The sequence below is a fragment of the Homo sapiens genome, chromosome 19 (genome assembly GCF_000001405.40).
Source record: "Homo sapiens chromosome 19, GRCh38.p14 Primary Assembly".
NCBI lineage: Eukaryota > Metazoa > Chordata > Mammalia > Primates > Hominidae > Homo > Homo sapiens.
This window is the reverse complement of record NC_000019.10, coordinates 41,113,346-41,139,463: the sequence shown is the minus strand read 5'-3', so window position 1 is coordinate 41,139,463 and position 26,118 is coordinate 41,113,346. Positions and strand designations below refer to the sequence as shown.

The window sequence follows — 26,118 nt, the reverse complement described above, 5'->3', positions numbered from 1 at the left end:
CTGCCACCTCTGTCTCCCAGGTTTCAGCGATTCTCCCACCTCAGCCTCCTGAGTAGCTGAGACTACAGGCGTGCGCCACCATGCCTGGCTAATTTTTGTATTTTTAGTAGAGACGGGGTTTCACCATGTTGGCCAGGCTGGTCTTGAACTCCTGGCCTCAAGTGATCTGCCCGCCTCGGCTTCCCAAAGTGCTGGGATTACAGGCATGAGCACTGTGCTTGGCCCAAATCTGTCACTTTCTAACCCTGGAGATCCCAGAGACCATTCTCCCTCTGAGCTATTCCTTATTTAGAGAATGGGGATCTCTGACTTGGAAGGCAATGGGAGGGTTAAATAAGGTCATAAATGTAAATTGCACAGTGCAATGCTCAGATCTAGATGGGCTCTGTAAATGTTAACCATTATTATTCTATAAGTTTATGATCCCACAGCGCTAAGAGTCTCTATTTTTAAGTTTCAAATATTCGTTGTAAGGTTCCTGGATTCAGTCTGTAATGGGGGTGCCTCTTGCAGTTTCCACCTTTCCAGGGGCAGGGACTGTTCTGGATGACATCCCCACGGACAGGGATGCTGTGGCCCCCAACATGCATGCCTGGAGCAGTTGGCAAGACCACAGCAGCCCCCAGCCCTGTGTGTGTTTGGAAATTTTCCATCTGAGGCCAGGAGTGTTTGGCTCATGCCTGTAATCCCAGCACTTTGGGAGGCTGAGGCAGGCTGATCACTTGAGGTCAGGAGTTTGAGACCAGCCTAGCCAAGATGGTGAAACCCCATCTCTACTAAGAAAATTTCCATCTGTTCCATTGTTCCAGGTTCATGCTCAACACATTTCTTTCCCCAACTGGCCATAAGCAACCCATCCCTGAGTCATTGATTTTGCCTCCTAAATGTCTTTGGAACATGTCCATTTCTCTACATCTCCATCATTGTTATACTTTGAATTTTGTGCTCCCAAAAGATATTGAAATCTTCAACCCCAGGACCTGTGAATGTGATATTATTTGGGGAAAGGGTCTTTGCAGATGATCAAGCTAAGATGAGGTCATTAGCTGGGCTTGAATCCAATATGAGTGTCTTTTTGTTTGTTTAAGAGTTGGAGTCTTGGCCAGGTGTGGTGGTTCATGCCTGTAATCCCAGCACTTTGGGAGGCCGAGGCGGGTGGATTGCTTGAGGTCAGGAGTTCGAGACCAGCCTGGCCAACATGGTGAAACCCCGTCTCTACTAAAAATACAAAAATTAGCTAGGCATGGTGGCATGCGCCTGTAATCCCAGCTACTCAGGAGGCTGAGACACCTTCATGGTCATTGAAAGGTTCACTGTTGTATTAAAGAACCCAAAATCTCAGTGGGGTTCAGTCATGGGGCTCCATACCAGATCTGAGCATCTGAGTCTCTGCCCATCCCTGGAGCCCCAGGATCCCCTCCCTGCTTAGCTATCCCAGTGCCTCCCCCTACTATCCCACAGCTGCATTTGGTTTATTAGAAGGGTGGGGAGCAGTAAATGTATTTGACCAACTCTTGTGTGCCAAGTCTAGTACACACATGTCCTCACTGAGTCTTCAAAACAACATCATGGGCCATGGACGGTGGCTCACACCTGTAATCCCAGCACTTTGGGAGACCGAGGTGGGAAGATCAGGACCAGCCTGGCCGACATGAGGGCAGGAGTTCAGGACCAGCCTGGCCGAAATGGCTTTTTAAAAGCCCAAGGGAATAGGCTGGGTGGGTAGCTCACGCCTGTAATCCCAGCACTCTGGGAGGCCGAGAAGGATGGATCACTTGAGGTCAGGAGTTTGAGACCAGCCTGGCCAACATGGTGAAACCCCGTCTCTACTAAAAATACAAAAATTAGACAGGCGTGGTGGTGGGTGCCTGTTATCCCAGCTACTAGGGAGGCTGAGGCAGGAGAATTACTTGTATTGGGGAGGTGGAGGTTGCAGTGAGCCGAGATCATGCCATCTCAAAAAAAAAAAAAAATGCTGAAGGGAAGGCAGGTCTACTTTCCTGCTCCAGGGGTAACTGATTGTGTTTGGGTCTGCACAGCGCACACCTGCCGATTCTGGCTGATCTCGGAATACGCTCATGCATCGGGGCCCCACACAGGATCTCCAGACTCAGTGGGCACCTTTGGCCAGACAGTGGCTGTGCAGGTGGGTGTCGAGGGTGAGGGTGCGCGGCACCACGCTGATGAAGCGCTGGATCTCCAGCAGCACTGCGTTGGTGTAGGGCCATTGCACGTGGTCGTCCGGGCTTGGGACAGGCCTCTGCCCTACCACAGGGTCCAGCTCCTGCCCCTTGGCTGGGGCAGAGGGAGGCTGTGCACTTCCGGGACCCTCCAGCCATCTCCAAACCGCAGCCTCCCATTCTGGGTCTCTCTGGCTCGCAGACCTGCCACCTCTGGGTACTTAAGCAGAATGAGGAGCCCATATGGAGCACAGGGTGGTGCTCGTGGTTTCTGTGCCACCAAAAAAAAAAAAAAAAAAAAGTTGCATCGTCATTACCAACGTCTCCTCCTGGAAATGGCTCTCTGGGTCTTGCTGTTTCTGTGGGCAGAGAAGATGGGCTGCCGCGCGCCAGGCACCTGTTGGTGGGCGGCATGGATAGAGTTTAGGGAGCTGGGACCCATGCCTTACCCATCTGGCCAAGCAATCGATGAAATCGCGGGGCTCCGCCGGCTGCCTCATGTGCCAGTGTTGTTGGATTTGCTCAGAGATGAAGACCTGCAGCTCTGAAAAGTTTTGGAAGATTTGGTGGTGCGGGCCCGGGAGCCAGTCCATGAGAGACAGGCAAATGTACATCTGGAGAGACAGGGTCTCAACAAGGGCCCTGGACATGCCCACTAGGCCTTAGTTTCCCTACAGGGACTTTGATATTGGAGGTTCTAGAACTCTTCCAAGAATCTAACTGTCCCATTGTAGGTACGTCTGTGTACTCGGGATTTGGCATAAGGCTGGACGCACAAGGGAGAGATTGTGGCCGGCCCTCTCACCTCGCCCCATTTGGAACTCATGATGCGGAAGTTGTCACTTAGGAGGTTCAGGACCTCAGGAACTCCGGGTCCCCGTAGCCATAGCGGTTCCCGAAGACAAGAACAGGTAACACTGGATACAGCATTACCCAGTAGCCGCACGGGGTCAAACGGGGCTCCTGGGGGTAGGAACAGGACGGTGGTCATAACGCGTGGTCCTGCCCCCAGCCAGCCCCATGGGCTTACTGGCTTTCTTCCACCCAAATACCTTCCAGTGGCCCCGTCTTGGCAGTGCAAGGGACTCTCCCACACCAGGCCCTTCCGCTCTCCCGGCCAGGCCGAAGCAATGGTGGCTTGAAATTCGTCTAGCAGACAAGCCGCCTCATCCAGGACACGCGCCTCGATGGTCCGCGTATCCAACCCGAACTTCTTCGGCGCTCCAAGTGCAAAATTGCGCAGTGTCCACCAGCACGGCCGGTTAGAAAACAAGATTCCTGTGGTGGGGACGGGAAAGGAGGCGGGCCCGGGAACCGGCCACGCCCCATCCAGGAAGCGCCGGGTCACTGGCTACATCCCTTTCGGGGCCTCCGACTCCTGCGGCCGGCTTCGTTCGTTTTGCTGCCTTACCAGACCTCCAAGTGCCCTATCCACACATTGGCCCCGCCTTTGCTGGGCTCCATCCCTGACCTAGGCTGGCTCTGGGACTTTGAATCTTAGGCTCTTTTCTCCTGTTGGCTGCAGGATGAACCTCCATTCTAACCTTACGCTTTAGCGCCGCCCCGCCCTCTCTCGGCCGTTTGCACCTCATTAGCTGGAGTCTCTATTAGGCCCCGCCCCCATTTGCCCGCCTCTACCATTTACCCGCCCAGCCTGGAGCGTCCGGACCGGCAAGTCCAGCGCCGGGGCCTCACTGTTTCCGCGTGTGAAGCGTTCGAAGACTGCCATGGACCCGCGGCCGGAGACCGCATCCGCCTGTAGCACTAACGCGTCCCGCAGCGCTGCGTAGCCGCACAGCACCACCGCAGGGCGCGGGCCCAGCCGCACTGTGAACACCCGGCCCCAGCGGCCGGAGAGCTACGGGTAGCCGGTGCTCAGCGGGTGCCCATAGGGTTCCTCATCGGAGCCATTGCCCCCAGCTCCCTCTTCCTTCAGACCCAGGAGTCCTCGTCTCAGACCCTCATTCCTCAGGTCCAGGAATTCAGATCCCCAGCTCCTTCCTCCCTGAGATGCGGGAGTCCAGGCCCCCACTTCCTTCTTCCCTTGGGACCTAGAAGTCCAGATTCCCAACCTCCTGTACCCTCAGAGTGTCTCCTGGGCCCTCAGTACCTCCCCACCCTGAACCAGGAGAACAGACCCCCTGCTCCCCTCTTCCCACAACCTGATTTCCTGCTCTGGGCTCCTTCCTTACGACCCAGTGTCCCGGCCCCAGGCTCTCCACTCCCTATTCTCCTTTCCTAGTACTCAGCAGTCCGGAGCACTCATCCTTCCTGTCCTTCCTCAAGATCATAGAGTACAAGCCCTCAGCTGTCTTCGTTCAGGAGGAGTTCTAGTCCCCAGCCCCACCTCCACGAATCCAGAATTCCGTTCCCCCATTCCTGTCGGGAATGGAGCGCGCGGTCCAGGCCTCCGGACTGCAGCTGCAAGTTCCCCAGCAATGGGAGCAGCCTGGGCCGGGGAGGTAGGGACCCCCGCATCTGAGCGCGGCACCCACCCTACCCCCACCACGCCGGCACCAGCACCAGAAGCCACAACAGCAGCGCAGCGATACCCGCGATCATCATGCCTGCAATTCTCCACGCCTGCACCTCTATTTGATTTCCAAGGGGTCTTGGGTGGAGCAGGGGCAGAGACCCGATGTGGGAGGAGTGGGCATCTCAGGGCTGCTCATTCCATGGATTCCCCAGCCCGACGTCTCCAGCCCACCCCCAGCCCTGGTGGAACTGTGCCCTGGCTCCTCCTGGCTTTTTTTTTTGTGCCTGCCTCAGCCTGCCCCACTTAACATCTTTCGTACACCAGCATTTTCATGTCAACACACCTGGCCAACAGGTGCACCCTCCTGAGCCCCTAGCACCTTTGAGTCCAATTTATTTGGCCTGTAGGTGTGTATTCCTCAATCTCCGGGCCATCTCTGGGCCCCCTGAACGCTGTACCCTGTACCTCTGATTCCTAAATACACACCGACTCTCAAATACACTTCTTCTTCTTCTTCTTCCTTCTTCTTCTCCTTCTTCTCCTTCTTTTTTTTTTCAGAGTTTCGCTCTTGTCGCCCAGGCTGGAGTGCAGTGGTGCGATCTCGGCTCACTGCAACCTCCGCCTACCAGGTTCAAGATTCTCCTGCCTCAGCCTCCCAAGTGGCTGCGATTACAGGCGTGCACCACCAGGCCCTGCTAATTTTTGTATTTTTAGTAGAGACGGAGTTTCACCATGTTGGCCAGGCAGATTTTGAACTCATGACTTCAGGTGATCCGCCTGCCTCGGCCTCCCAAAGTGCTGGGATTACAGGTGTGAGCCACTGCTCCTGGCTCAAATACACTTCTAAAGACACCCCTGGCACTCCTGTGCTCTGTGCCTGTGATTCCTAGGAGCTCACACCTGAGCCCTTGTCACTTCCATTGCTCTTGGGACCCTGTGTGCTACGCTTGTTCCCCAGATCTGCCTTCAATTTCCCTGGCTTCTGGGTGTCCATCAGCCTGGCACTTCTGTGCCTCTATTTCTTCAGGGTGTCTTTCTGCATGTTGACCCCCTTGTACTTCCATATTATGTCCTGCCCTGAATCTACCATCTCTATTCCCAAGGCATTGGCTCCCAGATGCCCCCAAATGTTCTGTGCCCATGCTGCTGAACCCCCTGGTATCCAGTCCCCCAAGTCCTTGTCTGAGGCCAGGCCATGATGGCAGACAAACTTATCCCTTATTCTCTCATCTATCCCCCACTACCCCCAATCCTAGGGCATGGGCTAGAGGGGGCAGACTCAGGCCTGGATGGGCCAGGGTTGCGGTGGTGGCAGCAGTGAGTGAGGTTGGGGCTGTATTTGGAACAGACTGTTCAGGAATGTGGTCCACCCTCCTGCCTGCCCCTGCTTGGCCAAATCCAGCCTTCCTCCAAGTGCCTGGCACAGGGCCCAGACCTGGCGAGCCAGTGGGCGGGGGGGGGGGGACTGTGCAGAGCCTAGGACTGGCATTGTCTCTGGGAGGGTCTCTCTGTGTCTCTTTGTTTCATCTCTCAGTCTCACTTGCTCTCTCTCTCTTTTCTTTCTTTTCCTTCCTTCTTTTCTTTTCTTTCTTTTTTTGAGACAGAGTCTGGCTTCTGTCCCCCAGGCTGGAGTGCAGTGGTATGATCATGGCTCACTGCAGCCTCAACCTGGGATCAAACAATCCTCCCACCTCAGCCTCCCGAGTAGCTGGGACCACAGGTACACACCACCACATCCTGCCAATTTTTGTATTTTTTGAAGAGACAGGGTCTCACTGTGTTTCCCAGGCTGGTCTCCAACTCCTGGGCTCAAGCAATCTTTCTGCCTTGGTCTCCCAAAGTGCTGGGAGTATAGGCATGAACCAGCGTGCCCAGCCTCCCTCACGCTCAGTCTCTATGTTTCTGTGTTCATCTCTCTCTCTCTCCTCTTTCCATCTTTTCCCATCTCTCTCTCCTTTCTCTCAGTCTCTGCCTCTGTTTGTGTCTGTTTTCTGTCTCTCTTTTCAGTATGTCTGTGTCTTCCTCTCCCTGTATCTCCCCCAGTCTGTGCTTCCCTTTGTCTCAGCCTGGCACTTCTGTGCCTCTCCTTATTTCTTCAGGGTGCCTTTCTGCATGTTGACCCCCTTGTACCTCCATATTCTGTCCTGCCCTGTCCTGGGTCTTCCTACCTGTCAGCCTTTCTGGAACCTGGTGACTGACATGGGTTGTCTGGCAGGGCCCCTGCTCAGAGCTGCTGACTCCACTGACAGCGGGAGTGTGGTGGGGCACAGTAAGCTGCATCCTCCCCCAGCCCTACCCCACCCTCTGTGACAGGCTTTAATGGATCCTCTTTATTATGGCCTCTGGTTTCTCCCCAGCTCCTGACTCTTCCTCCATTTTGCTCGGGTGGGCTGTCCTCTGGAATGTCAGCTCTTCCAGAGCAAGGATTTTGTCTTGTTTGCTTCTGTATCCCAGCACTTAAAATAGCGCTCAGCACAGCAGTAGGCACTTAGTAAATGTTTGTTGAATGAATGCCCAATTTTTCTTCCTCCCTACCTCTCTTTGTTTTTTTATAGAGATGGGGTCTTGTTAAGTTGGCCAGGTTGGTCTTCAACTCTTGGTCTCAAGCAATCCTCCTGCCTCAGCCTCCTAAAGTGCTAGGATCACAGTCGTGAGCCACCGTGCCCAGCCTCTTTCTTCCCTCCCCTCCCCTCTTTTCCCTTTCTTCTTCTCTCTTCTCTTCCCTTCCCTTCCATCTGTCTTGTTCTGTTGCCCAGGCTGGAGTGCAGTGGCACCATCACAGCTCACTGCAGCCATGACTGCCTGGGCTCAAGTGATCCTCCCACCTGAGCCTCCCAAGTAGCTGGGACTAGAGGTGCGTGCCACCATGCCTAGCTAATTTTTAAAATATTTATAGAGACCAGGTCTCGTTATGTTGCCCAGGCTGGTCTCAAACTCCTGGGCTCAAGTGATCCTCCCGCCTTGGTGTTTCTATCTCTTTGTAATTAGACTGGATTTCTCTGTTTCTCTCTTTCTTTTCCTCCCTTTTTCTTTTTCTCTCAGGTCTCTCTATCTCTCTTCATTTCTGTTCTCTTTATTTATCTTTGTCTTTCCTCTCTCTGGACATCGCTGTCTTTCCCTTTTCTCAGTGGCTGTCTTTCTCCTCCCGGTCTCTGTTTTCCAGGATTTCTCTGCCATCCCTGCGTTATCTGTCTCTTCCTTTTCCTCTCCATCTCTTTTCAGTGTCTCCAGGTGTTTTTCTGCATCATCTCTCTCTGCCTGTCTTTCTCAGGACCTCTGAGTCTCTCTGTGTCTCCCTCTCTCCCCCAACCTCTGTGTCCCTGGCTGGGCCCTGGGGCCGACTCTGGTCAGCCTGTGATGGGAACAGTGAGGGGATTAAAGAGCTGACACCTTAATCCCCATGTGGGGACTGCCTATAAGCCTCACTCCAGTAAGCCCCATGCTCAGCAGAGCATGTCCCAGTTTCTGCATCGCCTTGGGGAGACCCCGTTTAGGGTAGAGCCTCTCAGGCCACCTCCACTGATGGCTGAGGGGCCAGTTCCACTCTGCTTGAATCTGGCTTGATGTGCTTTGGGACGCCTGCCCCGCAAAAACAGCCACTGTCAGCAGGATGTTAGGGTATTAGGTCGGGTCCCAGGTTGGGAGGGTACATGCCTGGGGTTGCTATCGTCACTCCAAACGGGAGAATTTCAGAGAATTTCAGTGAGAGGGTGGGAGGGCCTAGTGCAGTGGTTCATGCCTGTAATCCCAGCACTTTGGGAGGCTGAGGTGGGCAGATCACTTGAGGCCAGTAGTTCGAGACGAGCCTGGCCAACATGGTGAAACCCCATCTCTACTAAAAATACAAAAATTAGCTGGGCATAGTGGTACGTGCCTGTAATCCCAGCTACTCGAGAGGCTGAGGCATGAGAATCACTTGAGCCCTGGAGGTGGAGGTTGCAGTGAGCTGAGATCATGCCACTGCACTCCAGCCTGGGCAACAGAGCAAGATTCTGTCCAAAAAAAAAAAAAAGAAAAGAAAAAAGAAAAAAAAGAAAAGAGGGGCTGGGGATTGAGGGAGGGAGCCTCAGTCCTCGGAACTCCCACTGTCATTGCTCATCTGTCTTTCTCTGGTCATTTCTCTGTTTCTTTCCATTCTCTCTCTCGATTCCCCCTGCCTCCCATATCTTAGTGTCTGTGTTTCTCTGCTCTTCTCTGTATTTAAGGGTGTCTGCCTCTTTCTTTCTGGGTCTCTGACTTGTGAATTAAAAGGTAGTAGTTAGAAGTGCAGTGTCTGAGTAGGGCATGGTGGTGTGCACGGGTTGTCCAGAACTTTGGGAGGCTGAGGCTAGAGGATCACTTGAGGCCAGGAGTTCGAGACGAGCCTGGGCAACATAGTGAGACTGCCTCTACAAAAATTAAAAATAAAAAAATTAGCAGCTGGGTGCAGTGGCTTACGCCCATAATCCCAGCACTTTGGGAAGCTGAGGCGGGTGGATCTCCTGAGCCCAAGAGTTCGAGACCAGCCTGGCCAACATGGTGAAACCCTGTCTCTACTAAAAATACAAAAAAAAAAAAAAAAAAAAAAGGTAGCTGGGTGTGGTGGCGGGCACCTGTAATCCCAGCTGCTCAGGAGGCTGAGGCACAAAAATTGCCTGAACCTAGGAGGTGGAGGTTGCAGTGAGCTGAGATTGAGCCACTGCACTCCAGCCTGGGTGACAGAGCAAGACTCTGTCTCAAAAAATAACTCAAAAAATAAAAATAAAAACAAATTAACCAGGTGTGGTTGTGGTGCAGCCTGTAGTCCCAACTACTCAGAAAGCTAAAGTGGAAGGATCTCTTCAGCCTGGGAGGTTGAAATTGCAGTGAGCTGTGATTATGCCATTGCATCCCAGCCTGAGAGACAGAGTGACAGCTTCTCTTGGAAGAAAAAAAAAAAAAAAAAAGAAAGAAGAAGAAAAAAGAAAAGAAGTGCAGTGTCTGTAGCCTCAGAGTCTGAATTTAGATCCCAGCTCTGCCTGTTTCTGTGTGACCTTGGGCAACTCACTTCACCTCTCTGAGCCTCAGTTTGCTCATCTGTAAAAACATGATAATAATACTGCTTTGTGGCCAGGTGTGGTGGCTCATGCCTGTAATCCCAGTGCTTTTTGGGTGGGAGGATCGCCTTAGTTCGGGAGTTCAAGACCAGCCTAGGCAACACTGCAAGACTCTGTCTCTACTAAAGATTAAAAAAAAAAAAAAAATTAGCCAGGCACGGTGATTGTAGTCCCAGCTATTTGGTGGTCTGAAACAGAAGCAGGAGGATCAGCTGAACCCAGAAGTTCAAGGTTGCAGTGAGCCTTGAATTGTGCCATTGCACTCCAGCCTAGGCAACAGAGGGAGACCCTGCCTATAAAAGAAACAAACAGGCCAGGCACAGTGGCTCACACCTGTAATCCCAGCACTTTGGGATGCCGAGGTGGGCGGATCACGAGGTCAGGAGATTGAGACCATCCTATCTAACACAGTAAAACCCTGTCTCTACTAAAAATACAAAAAATTAATCGGGAGTGGTGGCACATGCCCGTAGTTCCAGCTACTCAGGAGGCTGAGGCAGGAGAATCACTTGAACCAGGGAGGCAGAGGTTTCAGTGAGCCAAGATCGCGCCACCGCACTCCAGCCTGGGCAACAGAGCGAGTCTCTGTCTCGAAAAAAGAAAGAAAGAAAGAAAGAAAAAAAACCTCCCAAATCAAACCAAAGCAAAAAACATGGCTTTGCCTCATAGGGAGACTTAATGAGGCATTCAGAACAGCGTGCAAATAGGGAGTGTCATTTAGTGTCAGTGCTTGTTCCTTAGCCTCACTTTGCCCTGCTTCCATCTCTCTGCAGTGCCCTTCATCTCTTGCATATTCTCTCTGATATCTCGCTGCTGTCTCCTTCTTCCTTCTCCTCCTCTTCTTCTTCTTCTTCCTCTCCTCTCCCTCCTCCCCCTCCTCCCTCTCCCTCTCCCTCTCCTTCTTCTTTTTTCTTTCTTCTTCTGACAGGGTCTCACTCCCGTCTCCCAGGCGGGAATGCAGTGGCGCAATGATACCCCATTGCAGCCTCGACCTCCCAGGATCAAGCAATCCTCCTGCCCCACTTTTTGACTTTTTGTAGAGTCAGGCCTCACTCTGTTGCCAGGCCGGTCTCAAACTCCTGGGTTCAAGCGATCCTCCCGCCTCAGCCTCCCAAAGTGCTGGGATTACAGGTGTGAGCCACCTCACCTGGTCCTGCTGCCTTTTTCTCTGTCTTGGTTTCTCTGCCTCTCTGGCTTCAGGTCCTCGCAGCCTTTACCTTCAAGCCTGTCTCCAGGATACAATTTGTCCCACCCTAGCCACCCTAAAGGTGAGGGCAAAACTAGCCAGTGTCTCCATCTCTGCAGCCAGCTCCCTTCTCCCCATCCTAAATGACTCTCATTCTCACTTTAATTCAGCCAAGACTGGTTTGAATCTATTACAATGTACTAAGAAATGATACAAAAAGCCTAGAAAAGGGCGTGCCATAGAACAAGCTCTGTGGGTACAAAAAGACATGCCACATCTGCCTCTGCCCTGCAGACGGGGCACAGATTGGAGGGATGGGGGAAGGGCACGCGGCAGGCACAGCATGCAGGGAAGACAGCGTGACTGCCAGAGGGATGAGGGCAGACTGTGGACCAAGAAGGGGACGTAGCAACCCGCATGGGCGGGCCTCATCGCTCACAGGCGAATCTGGAAGGGCCGGGGCGTTAGCGCGGGCGCAGGCACAGCTGGAAAGGCCGCGGCAAATTGCCAAGACCTGAGCTGAGTGGGGTCAGGTCGATGTCCTCGGGCGCACCCAGCGGCTGCAGCGAAAAGCTCTGCAGGATGGCGGTGAGGTACAGAAAGAGCTCCATGCGCGCCAGCGACTCTCCCAGGCACAGACGGCGCCCTGCAGGGGTGGCAGGATGGGGAGCGGCGGTGAGATAAGATGAGGTTAGAGGCTGCAACCCCACATTCCCAGAGGAAAACATAAGAGGAAAGGAAGACAGCAGCTGGGGACGTCACAGATTCACCCATGTAAAGAACTGGGAAAGATGCTTTAAACTGTGGAGTGGAATGACCTGGGCTGCTTGGGTTCGAATCCTGGCCCTGTCACTACTAGTTTTGTGATCCTGGACAAACCACACGTTCTGGATATTTAAAATGGGGATATGAAGGCTGGGCGTGCTGGCTTAGGCCTGTAATCCCAGCATTTTCGGAGGCCGAGGGAAGAGGATCCCTTGAGCCCAGGAGTTTGAGAGCAGCCTGGGCAACACAGCAAGATCCCATCTCTACAAAAAAAATTTTAAAAATGTGCAAGGTGGCACATGCCTGCAGTCCCAGCTGCTTGGGAGGCTGAGGCGAGGGGATCACTTGAGCCCAGGAGATCAAGGCTGCAGTGAGCCATGATCGTGCCACTGCCCTCTAGCCTGGGTGACAGCAAGACCCTGTCTCAGAAAGAAAAATAAAAGGAGGGATAGTAATAGTGCCTCATGAGGCTGCTGTGAATGGTAAACACAGGGAAAGCAGTGAGGCTGTAAGTAGCTTACCATGGGCCATGCATTACTCTGAGCATTACATCGCAATTAATTCTAACAACTCCAAGAGGCAGGCCTTAGTATTATCTCCATTTTATAGATGTGGACATTGAGGCACAGAGAAGTGGAGTAACATACCCAAGGCAACACAGCTAGGGGGTGACAGATGGGATGCAAACCCTGCTGGAATCTGGGCCACACATTCCCAGAGGAAAACATAAGCTCTTAGCTGGGCTCTTGTAGAGGCAGCACTTGACGCACAGTAGGCAATATGGTAAGTTACCTATTATTATGCCAGTTTTTTGTTTTTTCTTTTCCTGCCACTGAGTAAAGAGGGAGTTTTTCAGCAGGGTAAAGAGGAAAGCCAAAAAACAAACAAACAAAACAAAAACCCCTAGAACCACCTCAACTGCGCCACCCAGTGGAGAGGTAAACAATGACCACTCCCAAGTTCAATTTTTTTTTCTTTTAAAATTTTTATATATTTTTTATTTTTGGCTAGTCAGTATTTTTTATTTTAGAGAAAGGATCTCGCTCTGTTGCCCAGACTGGAGTGCAGTGGCATGATCATACTCACTGTAACCTCAAACTCCTGAGCTCAAGTGATCATCCCACCTCAGCCTCCCAAGTAGCTGGGACCACAGATGCACACCACACCACATCTAGGTAATTTTAACATTTTCAGTAGAGAAAGGGTCTTGCCATGTTGTCCAGGCTGGTCTTGAACTCCTGGCCTCAAGCGATCCTCCCGCCTCAGCCTCCCAAAGTGATGGGATTACAGGTGTGAGCCAATGTGCCTGGCCCAAGTTAAATAATAATTATTATAATTATTATTTATTCATTTTTTGAGATGGAGTTTTGTTCTTGTTGCCCAGGCTGGAGTGCAATGACATGATCTTGGCTCACTGCAACCTCCGCCTCCCGGGTTCAAGTGATTCTCCTGCCTCAGCCTCCAGAGTAGCTGGGATTACAAACATGTGCCACCATTCCTGGCTAATTTTGTATTTTTAGTAGAGACAGGGTTTCACCATGTTGGTCAGGCTAATCTTGAACTCCTGACTTCAGGTAATCTGCCCGCCTAGATCTCCCAAAGTGCTGGGATTACAGGTGTGAGCAACTGCCCCTGGCTGTTAAATTATTATCATTATTTTTTTTGAGACAGAGTCTCTCTCTGTACAATGGTGCAATCTCGGCTCACTGCAACCTCCGCCTCCTGGGTTCAAGTGATTTTCCTGTCTCAGCCTCCAGAGTAGCGGGGACTACATGCGCCCACCACCACACCCAGCTAATTTTTGTATTTTAAGTAGAGACAGGGTTTCACCATATTGGTCAGGCTGGTCTCGAACTCCTGACCTCAGGCGATCCACCCACCTCAGCCTCCCAAAGTGCTGGGATTACAGGTGTGAGTCACCATGCCCAGTCCCAAGTTAAATTATTAATCAACCTCCCCACCTTGCTTCACGAGGATTTTAGTCACTACTTGCCTATAGGAGCAGAGTTGAGAGGAGGAATGAATGTCTCTGTGCATCCAAAGCTGAGAATGGGTGGAAGGAAGGAGTGAGAGGATTTGGCAAGTGGAATTAGGGTGAGGAATGTAGGTAGAAATTGGGCCAGAAAGACTCTGATTCCTGCCCTCACCAGCTGAGAAGGGCATGAAGGCTGGACTCTTCTTGAAGGACTGATTGGCATCCAAAAAATGCTCGGGGTTGAACTCCTGGGGCGTCAGGAACTGGCTGGGGTCGTAGTGGACGGTGTTAAGGAGGGTGATGACATCGGTGCCCTGTGTGGGTGAGGAGGTGGACTTAGCAGTGTAGGAGGGCTGGGAGGCTCCCAAACTCCTTTCCATTGTATTGGGCTGGGTGTCCTGGGGACTTGATAAGGGGTGGGTATAGGTGGGTATAGGACTCAATCGGGGGCCAAGGAAATATGTGTGGGTGTCTAGGGTTCCAAGTGATGGGTGCTATATGCTGTATTATTGGGGACTTTGGCAGGGATGTGGGAAACCCCCAACCTTTGTGGGAACAGATGTGGGGTTTCTGGGGAAAAGGAGGGGTCCCTGAGAATAGCGTTTAGGCCCAGGGGATCCTCCAGATGAAGTTCCAGACCCCAGGGCTTCCAGGGAGGGGTTCTAGGAAGGGGATTTGTCATGGTGAAGGGGTCTAGTCCACTATGATATGAGATGGGGTCCTGGCAAAGGCCTGAGCTTCTGGATTTAAGGGTCTGAGATGTCTGTAGCTAGGGCTTGGGATGCCAGTTGCTAAGGCCTGGGGTGTTCATGGCTAGTGCCTGGGATACTCCTTGCCAGTGCAAGAGCCTGCGATGCCTCCTCTTAGGTTGCCTGATGTCGTTTGCCAGGCCTAGCGCACCTTGGGTATCAGGAAGCCGCGAAAGGCCGTGTCCCTAGTGACGCGGTGCGGCAAGTTCATGGGGATGATGTCTGCAAAGCGCTGCACCTCGTGGATCACCGCGTCTGTGTAAGGCATGGCCGCGCGGTCCTTCAGCGCCGGCAGCCGCGCGCGTCCCACCACGAGGTCGATCTCCTCCTGCACGCGGGCTGGAGAGGAAGCGGGAAGCGGGGTCGAGGGTATCAGCGGGCGCGACAGGGCAACCAGGCTGATAAGAGGTGTGTGCGTGTGTGGGGAGGCGTCTAGTCAAAGTCTCCCAGCGCGGGGCGCCACTGCTGGGGCGCACGTGAGAATTAGCTAGAGCTGGCCGGGCGCGGTGGCTCACGCCTGTAATCCCAGCACTTGGGAGGCCCAGGCGGACGGATCGCTTGAGCCCAGGAGTTTGAGACCATCTGGGCAACATGGTGAAACCCAATCTCCACAACAAAATAGAAAAATTAGCTGGGCTTGGTGGCGCACACCTGTGGTCCCAGCTGCTTGGGAGGCTGAGGCAGGAGAATCACTTGAACCCAGGAGGAGGAGGTTGCAGTGAGCTGGGATCAGGCCACTGCACTTCAGCCTGGGTGACAGAGCAAGATTCCGTCTCAAAAAAAAAAAAAAAAAAAAAAAAAAGGGGGGGGGGAAGAGGAAAAAAAAAAAAGAATTAGCCAGGGTCTGGGAGGAAGTGGGTCAGTGAGGGCGAAAGCTTGGCTTGTGCAAGGGCCTGAGTGTTGGGTTGTGTGGGCAGGGCTTCAGGGAGGCCTGGAATCCAGGACCTGATGGGATTTCAGGAGCAGTTTTGGGGCTCTACTGGCTGGACGGTAGGTCGAGTGGGTGGACTGTGTGGGAGGGCTGGAGATCAGGGGCAGAGCAGGGGATACACCCAGAGATGGAGCTTGGGGAGGTGGAGCAGCAGACAGAGCTGTGTGTGTGGGCCAGGCTGCATGGGAGAGGTAGGGTTCCCTGGCAGGCACATGGCTGGGGCTCCAGGGCAGGGCTCTGAAGCCGGAGGTGGACGCATGTGGTGGTTGACGCACTCGGCACAAAGCAAGACTAAGCGGGTGGAGGCAGGAGCGGTGGCTCACACCTGTAACCCCAGCACTTTGGGAGGCCAAGGTGAGAGGATTGCTTGAGCCCAGGAGTTGGGGACCAGCCAGGGCAACACAGCGAGACCCTGTCTCTACAAAAAATAAAAAATTAGCTGAGTGTATTGAGTGTGGTGGTGCACGCCTGTACTCCCAGCTATTGATAAGGCGGAGGTGGGGAGATTGCTTGAGCCCAAGGGGCTGCAGTGAGCTGTAATTACGGCACTGTACTCCAGCCTGGGCGACAGAGTGAGTCTGTCTCAAAAACAAACAAAAAACTAAGCAGAGCTGGGTGTAGTGGCTCACGCCTGTAATCCCAGCACTTTGGGAGGCTGAGGCAGGTGGATCACTTGAGGCCAGGAGTTTGAGACCAGCCTGGCCAACTTGGTGAAACCCTGTCTCTACTAAAAATAGAAAAATTAGCTGGATGTGGTGGTGTAATCCCAGCTACTTGGGAGGCTGTAATCCCAGCTACTTGGGAGGCTGAGGCAGGAGAATCCCTTGAACTCGGGAGGGGGAGGTTGCAGTGAGCGGATCGAGATCACGCCACTGCACTCCAGCCTGGGTGACAGAGCCAGACTCCGTCTCCAAAAAACAAAACAAAGACAAAAAAACCAACAATTAAGCGGGTGGGATCTGGGTCGGGATTCGGGCAGGCTGCATGGACCTCATGGGCCATGTGGTGGGATCGGCCTCCGTGTGGGTTTGTGGGTTTGGCTGTGGAATCCTGGTGCCAGCAGGAGGCTATATCAGACCTGGGAGGCGGGGCCGTGGCTCCCTGCTCTGGGGTGAGGCTGGAACACATGGGCACCTCCACGCTGCTGTGTGGGTGGGCCTCACCTTGAACTTTTGGGTACTTCATGAGTGCCAGGAAGGCGTGGTGCAGCGTGGTGCTCACCGTCTTGGTGCCGCCAAAGAGCAGGTTATGTGTGGTCATCAGCAGGGTATCCATGTGGAAGTGGCTCAGTGGGTCCTCCTTCTCCTGCATTGGTAGAGGGGTGGGGATGTGAGCCAGGAATGGAGGCCCCTTCACTCTAGACCAGTACAACTGCTGCTGGGGGCCCATTCGGTCCCAGCTGGGTTTAACTTTCTTTCCCTGGGAGAGCTGGGGAACGGAGAAGGGCAGGGCAGGGAAAATCTCAGCTGCAGGGCCTACAATTAACTTCTTGGATAGAGCTTGAATGACTTCTTGTTTTTTTAAAAAATACGTTTTATGTATGTATGTGTGTATGTATGTATGTGTGTATGTATGTATGATGTATGTATGTATGTGTGTATGTGTGTGTGTATGTATGTATGTATGTGTGTGTGTATGTATGTGTGTACGTATGTGTTGTAGAGACTGGGTCTTACTATATTGTCCAGGCTGGTCTCGAACTCCTGGACTCAAGCGATCCTCCTGCCTCGGCCTTCCAAAGTGCTGGGATAACAAGCCTGAGCAACTGCCCCCTCCACCCTGCCCCACCTCCTTTGATGACTTCTTAATGAGCTGTAAGTTGGCGGTGGCTGCGAGTGGCTCCTGGCTCCAGCCCAGCTGGGCCAGATGCTTCAGCTTCTCCAGGGAGAAGGTCCCCCAACCCTGCCCCATCTGGGGTCCCTGTGGGTTTGAGGCAGGGGCAGCAGGAGAATTTCAGGTCAGACTAGAGGTGGGATTTCCAGGTAGGGATTACCTCTGCCATCTTGGTGAGGAAGCACTGGATGAAGTCCCGGGGAGATCTGGGGTCTAGCGAGGCCTGGTGGTCGTGGACGCTGTGGGCGATGAGGTCTCTCAGGCACTTGAAGTTCTGGAAGATGCGTTGGTGCGGCCCAGGCACCCAGTCCAGGAGGCTCGGGAAGATGTCGTACAACTGGGGACCAGACAGAGTAGGAGGGTTTTGGAGGAGGACAAAGGGTGTTCAGGGGCGAATGGGGTCAGTGTGGATTAGGTAGGCAGGGACAGGGTCTCAAAGGGCAGCCAGGTCCGGGGTGGGGGTTGGGGCTGAGGGGGAGTGGGAAGGAGGCAATGGCGGCCATAAATGCTCAGTGGAGGGGAGTGGGCGTGGCCGTGTAACTCTGGGTGGGGTCAGATGGGAGGGGGCGGGCCCTGGGCGGGCCATTCACAGCCCTTTCCCCGCCCACTGTTTCCTCTCCATTCCTAGATCCTGCGGACCCCACACCCTGCCCCTGCTGGACTCAGTTGGCTGACCTCGCCCCAGGGGCTGCTCATGATTTGGAAGTTGTCATTGATAAGGCGGATAATGGTGAGCAGACGCTCATCATCATAGTCGAAGCGGCTGCCGAAGAGCACGGAACAGATAATGTTGGACACTGAGCGACTCAGCACAAACGTGGGGTCAAAGGGCTCGCCTGAGGGTAAGGAGTGCAATGGATCAGGAAGACGCGATGTGCAGCACACCAGACCTCATGCAGCAACACCATTAATTTGTACAACATCCGACTCAACCATGGCAACGTGTCTTACGGTGCAAACACGGGGACATGGTCACAACATGCTGCTTAACGACACCCCAAAAGCATCTGTCAATGCCACAGACGGCACCGAACCCACAACTTCCTGCAGCACATCGACAGCAACAACGCCCAACCACAGAACGGGCTATTCTTGGCAACACAACACACAGCACGCGACATAGCACAAGGCAATCATCAGGCATCACGGAACACAACAACACAGGGCAACAGAACACCCAGCAAATACGATCACAGTACATGCCAACACACGACACGCAGTGACCTAACAGCCAGCCCGGAAACATCCCAAGACACGGTAACCACACACCAACACATAAAGCCAGCATACAGCTACATAATCCTGCCACACAACACACGCTAGTACACAGCAACCCAGCCTGGGCGACAGAGCAGTCAGCAAGCAGAATCGCTTGAACTCAGGAGGCGGAGGTTGCAATGAGCTGAGATCACACCATTGCACTCCAGCCTGGGGGACAGAGCGAGACTCTGTCTCAAAAAAAAAAAAGTAGAATGGATGTGAATTATAAGGATGAACTGGATTCAAAGACCTGGCCAGACATGGTGGTGTATGCCTATAGTTCCAGCACTCTGGGAGGCAGAGGCAAGAGGATCATTTGCACACAGGAGTTTGAGACTGGCCTGGGCAACATAGTGAGACCCTGTCTCTACAAAAAATTTAAAAATAAGCTGGGTGTGGTGGAGCACACCTGAAGTACCAGCTATTCGGGAGGTTGAGGTGGGAGGATGGTTTGGGCCCAGGAGGTCAAGGCTGCCATCCAGCCTGTTAAAAAAAAAAAAGATCGTGCCATCCAGCCTGTTAAAAAAAATTCCTGACCTTCAGTTTTCCGCAGCTCCGCCAGCAGGAAGCTGCCCTCCTCTAGGATTCGCTCCTCAATGCTTCTCTTCCCCATCCCGAAATTCCGTAGAATCTGGATAGAGAACTGTCTCAGGACCTTCCATCGATCCCCACTGGAGAAGGCGATGCCTGGGGAGAAGAGGAGGGGACCAGCTTAACCGGGAACTCATCCTGAGGCCACTGCCACCCAGGTCCCCTTTCATGGTATTTGCTGGGAGAGAGACAGAGTTTGGAATCTCCCTGGCTCCTTCCAGTAAGCCCTTCTGGACCCTCCAGCTTAGGGGTCTCCTTCAAGCTTCCATAGGACCATGGGCTTCCCTCACGACCATCCTATCACTCTGCCTCTGTTTCCCCATTAAGAACCTGATCACTCTGGGCTGTTACTGTCTGGTGATGGGGCTGTCTCCTTCACAGAACTGTGAAGGCAGAGTGGGTGCCTGTCTTGGTCACCACTGGGTCCTTAGCATTGTCCAGTGCAGAGGGTGTCACACAGGAGGTGCTGGTGATTACTTATTGATGATGATTATTATTTTTTGCGACACAGTCTCGCTCTGTTACCCAGGCTGGAGTGCAGTGACACCATCTCAGCTTGCTGCACCCTCCGCCTCCCGGGTTCAGGTGATTCTCCTGCCTCAGCCTCCTGACTAGCTGGGATTACAGGTGTGCACCACCACGCCCACCTAATATATATGTGTGTGTGTGTGTGTGTGTGTGTGTGTGTGTGTGTATATATATATATATATATATATATAGAGAGAGAGAGAGAGAGAGAGAGAGAGAGAGAGAGAGAGACGGAGTCTTGCTCTGTTGCCAGGCTGGAGTGCAGTGGCACAATCTCAGCTTACTGCAACCTCCGCCTCCCGGGTTCAAGCAATTCTTCTGCCTCAGCCTCCCCAGTAGCTGGGATTACAGGCATGGCAAGGATGGTCTCGATCTCCTGACCTCGTGATCCACCCGTCTTGGCCTCCCACAGTGCTGGGATTACAGGCATGAGCCACTGCGCCTGGCCTAATTTTTGTATTTTTAATAGAGATGAGGTTTCACCATGTTGGCCAGGCTGGTACCAAACTCCTGACCTCAGGAGATCCACTCACCTCGGCCTCCCAAAGTGCTGGGATTACAGGTGTGAGCCATCGTGCCTGGCCTGCTTATTGATTATTAAATGCATGAATAAGAGAGATAGGCAAGAAAAATAAGCACCAGGACACTGGGAATTCATCCAGGAACAAAACAGACCCCGTCTCTTCTCTTCCTGGACCCAGAATCTTTGCACAGGCTGGTCTTTCCCAGAGCACTTTCACCCCCTGCCTTCTCCTGAATACTCATCTTCATTCTTTAGGTTTCAGCTTAGAGGTCCCCTCTTCCAGGAAGCCTTCTCTGGCTCCTCCTCCCTTCTAGGCTGGGCCAAGTGTTTCTCTAGGGTTTCCATAGCTCCCCAGGCTTCCCCCATCCCAGCCTGGACCACTCTGGGATGGCACAATCTGGTTGGTGATGCCTGTGTCTTCCACTGGACTGGGACCTACTATAGGATAAAGTCTCAGATGTGTTTATCTCTGGTTCCTCTGGACCTAGCAGAGAACTAGATACTAAAGAAGAAGAGAAAAAAGACTATAGTGTATTGCCTGCATTTTTATGCATTGTCTCATTGACTCCTCATAACATGGAGTTAATGCTATTATAATTTTCTCATGGTAGCAAACTAAGAGGAAGAGAAGGGAGGCCTCTGGCCCAAGGGTACACAGCTAGTGAGTGGTGGAACCCTGCTGTTACCCTCTGTGCTGTGTATTGAATAACTAGATGGTGGCTATTTTTGGTAACAAACGATGTACCCATCCAGATGTTTTCTGTGCAAAAGTAGCAAGGTGACTTTCTCAAGTGCCCTGTCTCCACCTCTTTGCATCTGGTGTACCTGGACAGGTAAGGTCATCAGATCAAGCCAGGGAAGGGAGCATGAAGGATGGAACGTGTACCTAATACACAATATTGTAATATTGTAATATTGTACCAGAGCTCTCTGATTTCAAATCCTGGGGCAGCTGGGACCCATCTAATGCAGGAGCCAGGGAGAGCCCTAGACATTCTTTGGAGGTGAGGAGAGAATAGTCCAGGATGCAGGTCTCCAGGATCCCCTTTCCAATCATGATGGCTTCCTTCCATCCTTCCTTCCTTCCTTCATTCTTTCCCTCCCTCCCTCCTTCCTTTCCTTCCTTCTTTCCTTTTTCCTTTCTTCCTCCTTCCTTCTGTTGGTCCCTCCTTCCTTCCATCATTTATTGGGTCTTGTCACATAGCTTCCTTTGAACAGAGATTTGTCTTTGAAATAAAGTTTGGGGCTGGGTGCAGTGGCTCACACCTGTAATCCCAGCACTTTGGGAGTCTGAGGCTGCTGGATCATGAGGTCAGGCATTCAAGACCAGCCTGGCCAACATGGTGAAACCCAGTCTCTACTAAAAATACAAAAATTAGCTGGGCATGGTGGCAGGTGTCTGTAGTCCCAGCTACTCAGGAGGCTGAGGCAGGAGAATGGCATCAACCTGGGAGGCGGAGATTGCAGTGAGCTGAGATTGCGTCATTGCTTTCCAGCCTGGGCAACAGAACGAGACTCCATCTCAAAAATAAATAAATAAATAAATAAATAAATAAATAAAGTTTGAAGACCACAGGACTAGGGTGATTCCAAGCCTTAGAGGGACAAGATATTGACATAGATGAGGTTTTAAGTGAATGATATGAATTGCTGGATGGCTGAGGATGGAGTTGAGTTTGGGTTAGGTTGGGAATGACAATGGGGAATGAAGGGGGTTATAAGATTGATGATAAATTGTATTTGAAGCTGGTGATGTGGATGGAGTTGGGTAGGATGAGGAGGATTGATAGATTGGGACTGAGCTTGAACTTGGGGTTGGGTAGATATGTGATGGGGTTGTTTTGGTGATGGTAGTGAGTTTAAGATTGAAAGCAAGAACTGGGAACTGGAAATTTCAATAGGTAATTGGGTTAGGAGATGGGGCTGGGATTGGGGGAAAGTAGCAGCAGAATTCAGTTTGGGCCAGGAGCAGTGGCTCTTGCCTGTAATCCCAGCACGTTGGGATGCCGAGGTAGGTGGATCACCTGAGGTTAGGAGTTTGAGACCAGCCTGACCAACATGGCAAAACCCCATCTCTACTAAAAATACAAAACATTAACCAGGTGTGGTAGTGTGCACCTGTAGTCCCAGCTACTCAGGAGGCTGAGGCAGGAGAATCGCATGAGCCTGGGAGGCAGAGGTTGCAGTGGGCCGAGATTGTGCCACTTCACTCCGGCCTGGGTGACAGAGCAAGACTCATCTCAGATAAAAAAAAAAAATTCAGTTTGACTAAAGGGACTAGGATGGGGTTGATAATAGAATTTAAAGTGGGGACTGGGATGGGGTTCATAATGGGAATGAAGGTTGGATTGAGATGCTGTCAGTGTTGTGGATAGGGATGAAGGTGGGGCTGATGTGGTGAACACTGGGGAAAGGTTGATGGGGACTGGGATTGGGTTGAGGTGGTCAGTGGGAACTGGGGCCACTTGACTGAGTTGGAAAGTTGATGATGCGGTTGGGATAGAGCTAGGGATTGGGATGACAATGGGGTTGGGGTTGGATGGAGATGAGGAGTGGTGCAAGAGTACAATTCAGGAAAGTGGTGGGATCTGGAGGTGAGGAAGGTGGGAGAGAATTTGCCATAGACCAACACTGCCTCGCTGCATTGCATTTGGTGTCATCAGTGATGTCAGCAGCCCTGAGTGTCAACAAGATTGAGACAACAGTCTCTCACCCTCACCCCCTCCCTCAATATGGAAAAGGCCGAGAGCGGAGGAGACAAGGACGAGGCTTACCATTGCCCTTGGTAAAGTTGAAAAAGGCAGGGTAGTCACCGCGGCCACTAAACTCCTCTCCCTGGTCCACCAGGGCCTCCTTCACAGCTTGGTACCCGCTGAGGACCACCACCCGCCTGGGTCCCAGGTGCACTGTGTACATGGAGCCATACTCCTTGCTCAGCTGAGGGTAGGAAGACAGAAGTTACAGGGGGGCCTGTGGCCATGGGACCCCTCCTCCTTATCCTTCCACCATCACCCAAGCTAAGGGCCTTGCACCTTAGTGAGAGAAGTCAGCATGTCTTGGGAGCAAAGCAGCAGCAGGTTTCCCAGGATTGAGAGGGGTCTGGGTCCCGGAGGCAGCTTTCCCTTATCTCTTGAGCTTAGGGTCAGGAGCAGACAGACGAGAGCCAGGAGCAGGAGTAAGATGGCTGTGCTTATGCTGTCCATGGTGAAGGCAGCTGCTGGCGTGTGGAGGGCAAAGTGGGAGAGGACATCGCTGATCCCTCCTTTCCATCTCCCCTGGGACTTACCTTCCCTAGGCCCTGGAAATGAAGGCAGATGGAGAGAAGGAGACAGGGAGAGGCCAGGGGATGGGGAAGGGAGGGAGAAAGGAGGAAAGAGGCAGAGATAGTCAACATATAGACAGATAAGGAGACAGAAACACAGAGACATAAATGGAGAGAGGCAAGTGATAGAGGAACAGAGACTAAGAGAGGCCAAGAGATATGCATAAAGATAATGAGAGAGACAGAAAAACAGTGAGCGATCTACATATCTACAGATGTCTGTCTACCTATCAGCCATCTATCATCTATCACTCTTTCTTTCCTTCCTTCCTTCCTTTCTTTTTCTTTCTTTCTTTTTTCTTTTTCTTTCTTTCTTTGTTTCTCATCTATTATCTAACATCTATCAACATCTATCTATCATCTATCTATCTATCTATCATCTATCATCTGTCTATCCATCATCTATCTATTCTTCTATCATCTATCATTGATCTGTCTATTATCTATCATCTATTATCTATCTATATCTATCATCTATCTACTATCTTCATAATCTATCATCTGTGTATCATCTGTCTATTATCTATCTATCATCACCTGTCTGTCAAGAGACTGTCATACAGAGACAGTGATAAAGAGAGATCAAGACACACAGGGACAGAGACAGACAAACACAGAGATAGGGAGAGCCAGAGAGCACATCACAGAAAGAGAGAGGCTGACATAGACTAGAGAAAGAAAGAGACAGAACTAGACAGACACAGAGCTAGAGAAAGACAAGGGAGATTGAGTGGAGAGACAGTGAGATGGACACTGACTGAGAGACAGAGAGGGACATGGAAGGATGGAGAGAAAAAGGGTAAGAGGGACAGAGAGAGGGAGAGACAGAGCTAGACACAGAGACTGAGGGAGACGAGAATGACAGACAGAAACAGATACACAAAGACAGAGTCACATAGACAGAGATGGAGAGAGAGAGAGAGAGAATAAGAGAGGCAGGGAATATTAGAGCCACACAAAGAGACGGGTAGGCTGCAAAGGGCAGACCAAGAGAGACTGAGGCCGGGCACGGTGGCTCACGCCTGTAATCCCAGCACTCTGGGAGGCCGAGGCAGGCGGATCACTTGAGGTCAGGAGTTTGAGACCAGCCTGGCCAACATGGTGAAACCCTGTCTCTACTAAAAACACAAAAATTAGTCAGGCGTGGTGTTAGGCACCTGTAATCCCAGCTACTCAGGAGGCTGAGGCAGGAGAATCGCTTGAACCCAGGAGGTGGAGGTTGCAGTGAGCTGAGATTGAACCACTGCACTCCAGCCTCAAAAAAAAAAAAAAAAAAAAAAAGAGAGAGAGAGAGAGAGAAAGAGACGGAGACAGAGAGGAAGGGCACAGGCAGAAACAGTGACAGGAAAAAATCAAGTGTTGCCAACCATGGGGTTGCATTGCAGAGAGAGAAGCCACCTACTTGGTGAAGCACCAGTAAAGAAATCCCAGTGCTCAGAACAGGGACATGAGAGCTCTCAGAGGAAACAGCAAAAAAGATTCCTAGCCAGTCTCAGAGACAGAGATTGGAGCTGGCGACCCACCCTCTCTTGGGAGACACCCCCTCCTTCTCTGCCTCCCTCACCGGGGCCCTTTACCTGCTGAGCTGCAGGAGACACTGGCTGGGATGCGCTAGAGCCTGCAGCTCTGGGTGTGCTTGGGGGGTGGTGGGGCAGAGGTTGTTCTTAAGTTGTTTCTGCCCACACCCTCCTCCTTAACCCCACTTTTCTTGTTCTCGCTGTGAACTTTAAATCCCTCCCATCATCTTGCCATACCTTTCCTGCGGCCCTAGGGCTCACAGCCAGCTGGAAAGGTGCCGTGGGAGGGGGCTGCGCCTGGGGGCCCTCCTGGGATGGGGCAAAGCTTTCTTTCTTTCTTTGTTTTTTTTTTTTGCTTTGCCAGTTGGAGCCTGGGCCTGGTTTTGGGGTAGTCATGGGGCTGTCGCAAAATGATGGGCCAGGGATGGGGGCTGGGTTCCTTTGGTATTTGGGGCACTTGTTTCTTTTTCTCTGGGTTCAAGTCCATTTCTGCCACTGATGGGCCGAGTGGCCCTGGCTAAGTCCCTTTCCCTCCAGAGCTGGAGTTTTCTCTTTCTCTGGAAGCCTATTTTTTCATAGTTCTCCATGCTGTTCCCTGTCTCTTGCCGTGGGTCTCTGAAATGCTCTGTGTCTTGCTTTGCTTCTGCCTCTACAGTCTCTGCCTCTGAATCTTTTTGTCTCTCTGTGTCTCTGTCTCTCCCTCCTTTGGTGTCTCTGGGTCTTCATTTCTTATGCTCTCTGGGCTTTCTCCTTCTCTCTGCTTCTCTCCCTGATCTCCCTGTAAGTCCCTCTCAGTCACTGTCTCCTGATCTCTCTGGTCTCTCACTCTCTCTATCTCTCATGTCTCCACGAGTCAGACTGCACTTGGTGGGACTGAAGCCAAGCTGAGGCTGAAGGAGTGTTTAAGAAAAGGGCAGAGCTGGAAGCCACAGGGAAAAAGCCTCTCAGACTAGAATGACACTCTCTCCCACCACTGGCTCATAAACAGCCCTCCTCCTGCCCTCCTGAGCACCCTACTAGCCATGTCTACTCTCAGCTCCTGCCTTAGAAACTCACCCTAGTAGGCCAGGCGCAGTGGCTCACGCCTGTAATCCCAGCACTTTGGGAGGCCGAGGTGGGTGGATCACCTGAGGTCAGGAGTTCAAGACCAGCCTGGCCAACATGGTGAAACCCTGTCTCTACTAATAATACAAAAATTAGCCAGGCA

At 52.2% G+C, this 26,118-nt stretch overlaps 2 protein-coding genes and 1 pseudogene across 6 annotated transcripts in view; 1 reads left to right on the top strand and 2 right to left on the bottom strand.

Moving 5' to 3' along the window:
- Positions 1–3,830, top strand: part of LOC124904790 (uncharacterized) — a 57,419-nt gene extending 53,589 nt beyond the window's left edge. The window contains exon 3 of the mRNA XM_047439802.1: positions 2,040–3,830. Within this exon, the coding sequence (XP_047295758.1) occupies positions 2,040–2,728 (689 nt within the window). The 3' untranslated portion in view covers positions 2,729–3,830. The remainder of the gene's footprint in view (positions 1–2,039) is intronic.
- Positions 2,111–4,745, bottom strand: CYP2T3P (cytochrome P450 family 2 subfamily T member 3, pseudogene; annotated as a pseudogene).
- CYP2F1 (cytochrome P450 family 2 subfamily F member 1) lies at positions 11,083–25,032 on the bottom strand. 5 transcript variants are annotated; one of them, NR_135528.2, is made up of 10 exons: positions 24,972–25,032; positions 23,105–23,286; positions 22,847–23,009; positions 18,968–19,117; positions 17,846–18,006; positions 17,331–17,507; positions 16,559–16,642; positions 14,558–14,745; positions 13,830–13,971; positions 11,083–11,563 (listed from the first exon to the last, which is right to left on the bottom strand). NR_135528.2 is itself a non-coding variant. In NM_000774.5 (10 exons), exons 2-10 carry the CDS (start codon positions 23,273–23,275, stop codon positions 11,382–11,384), a joined length of 1,476 nt encoding a protein of 491 aa, NP_000765.2. In that variant the 5' UTR covers positions 23,276–23,286; positions 24,972–25,032; the 3' UTR covers positions 11,083–11,381. The 5 variants fall into 5 exon arrangements, 4 of the variants coding, with proteins under 4 accessions (NP_000765.2, XP_047294236.1, XP_047294237.1 ...); NM_000774.5 differs by having other exon boundaries at positions 16,501–16,642; XM_047438280.1 differs by lacking the exons at positions 13,830–13,971; positions 14,558–14,745 and having other exon boundaries at positions 16,501–16,642.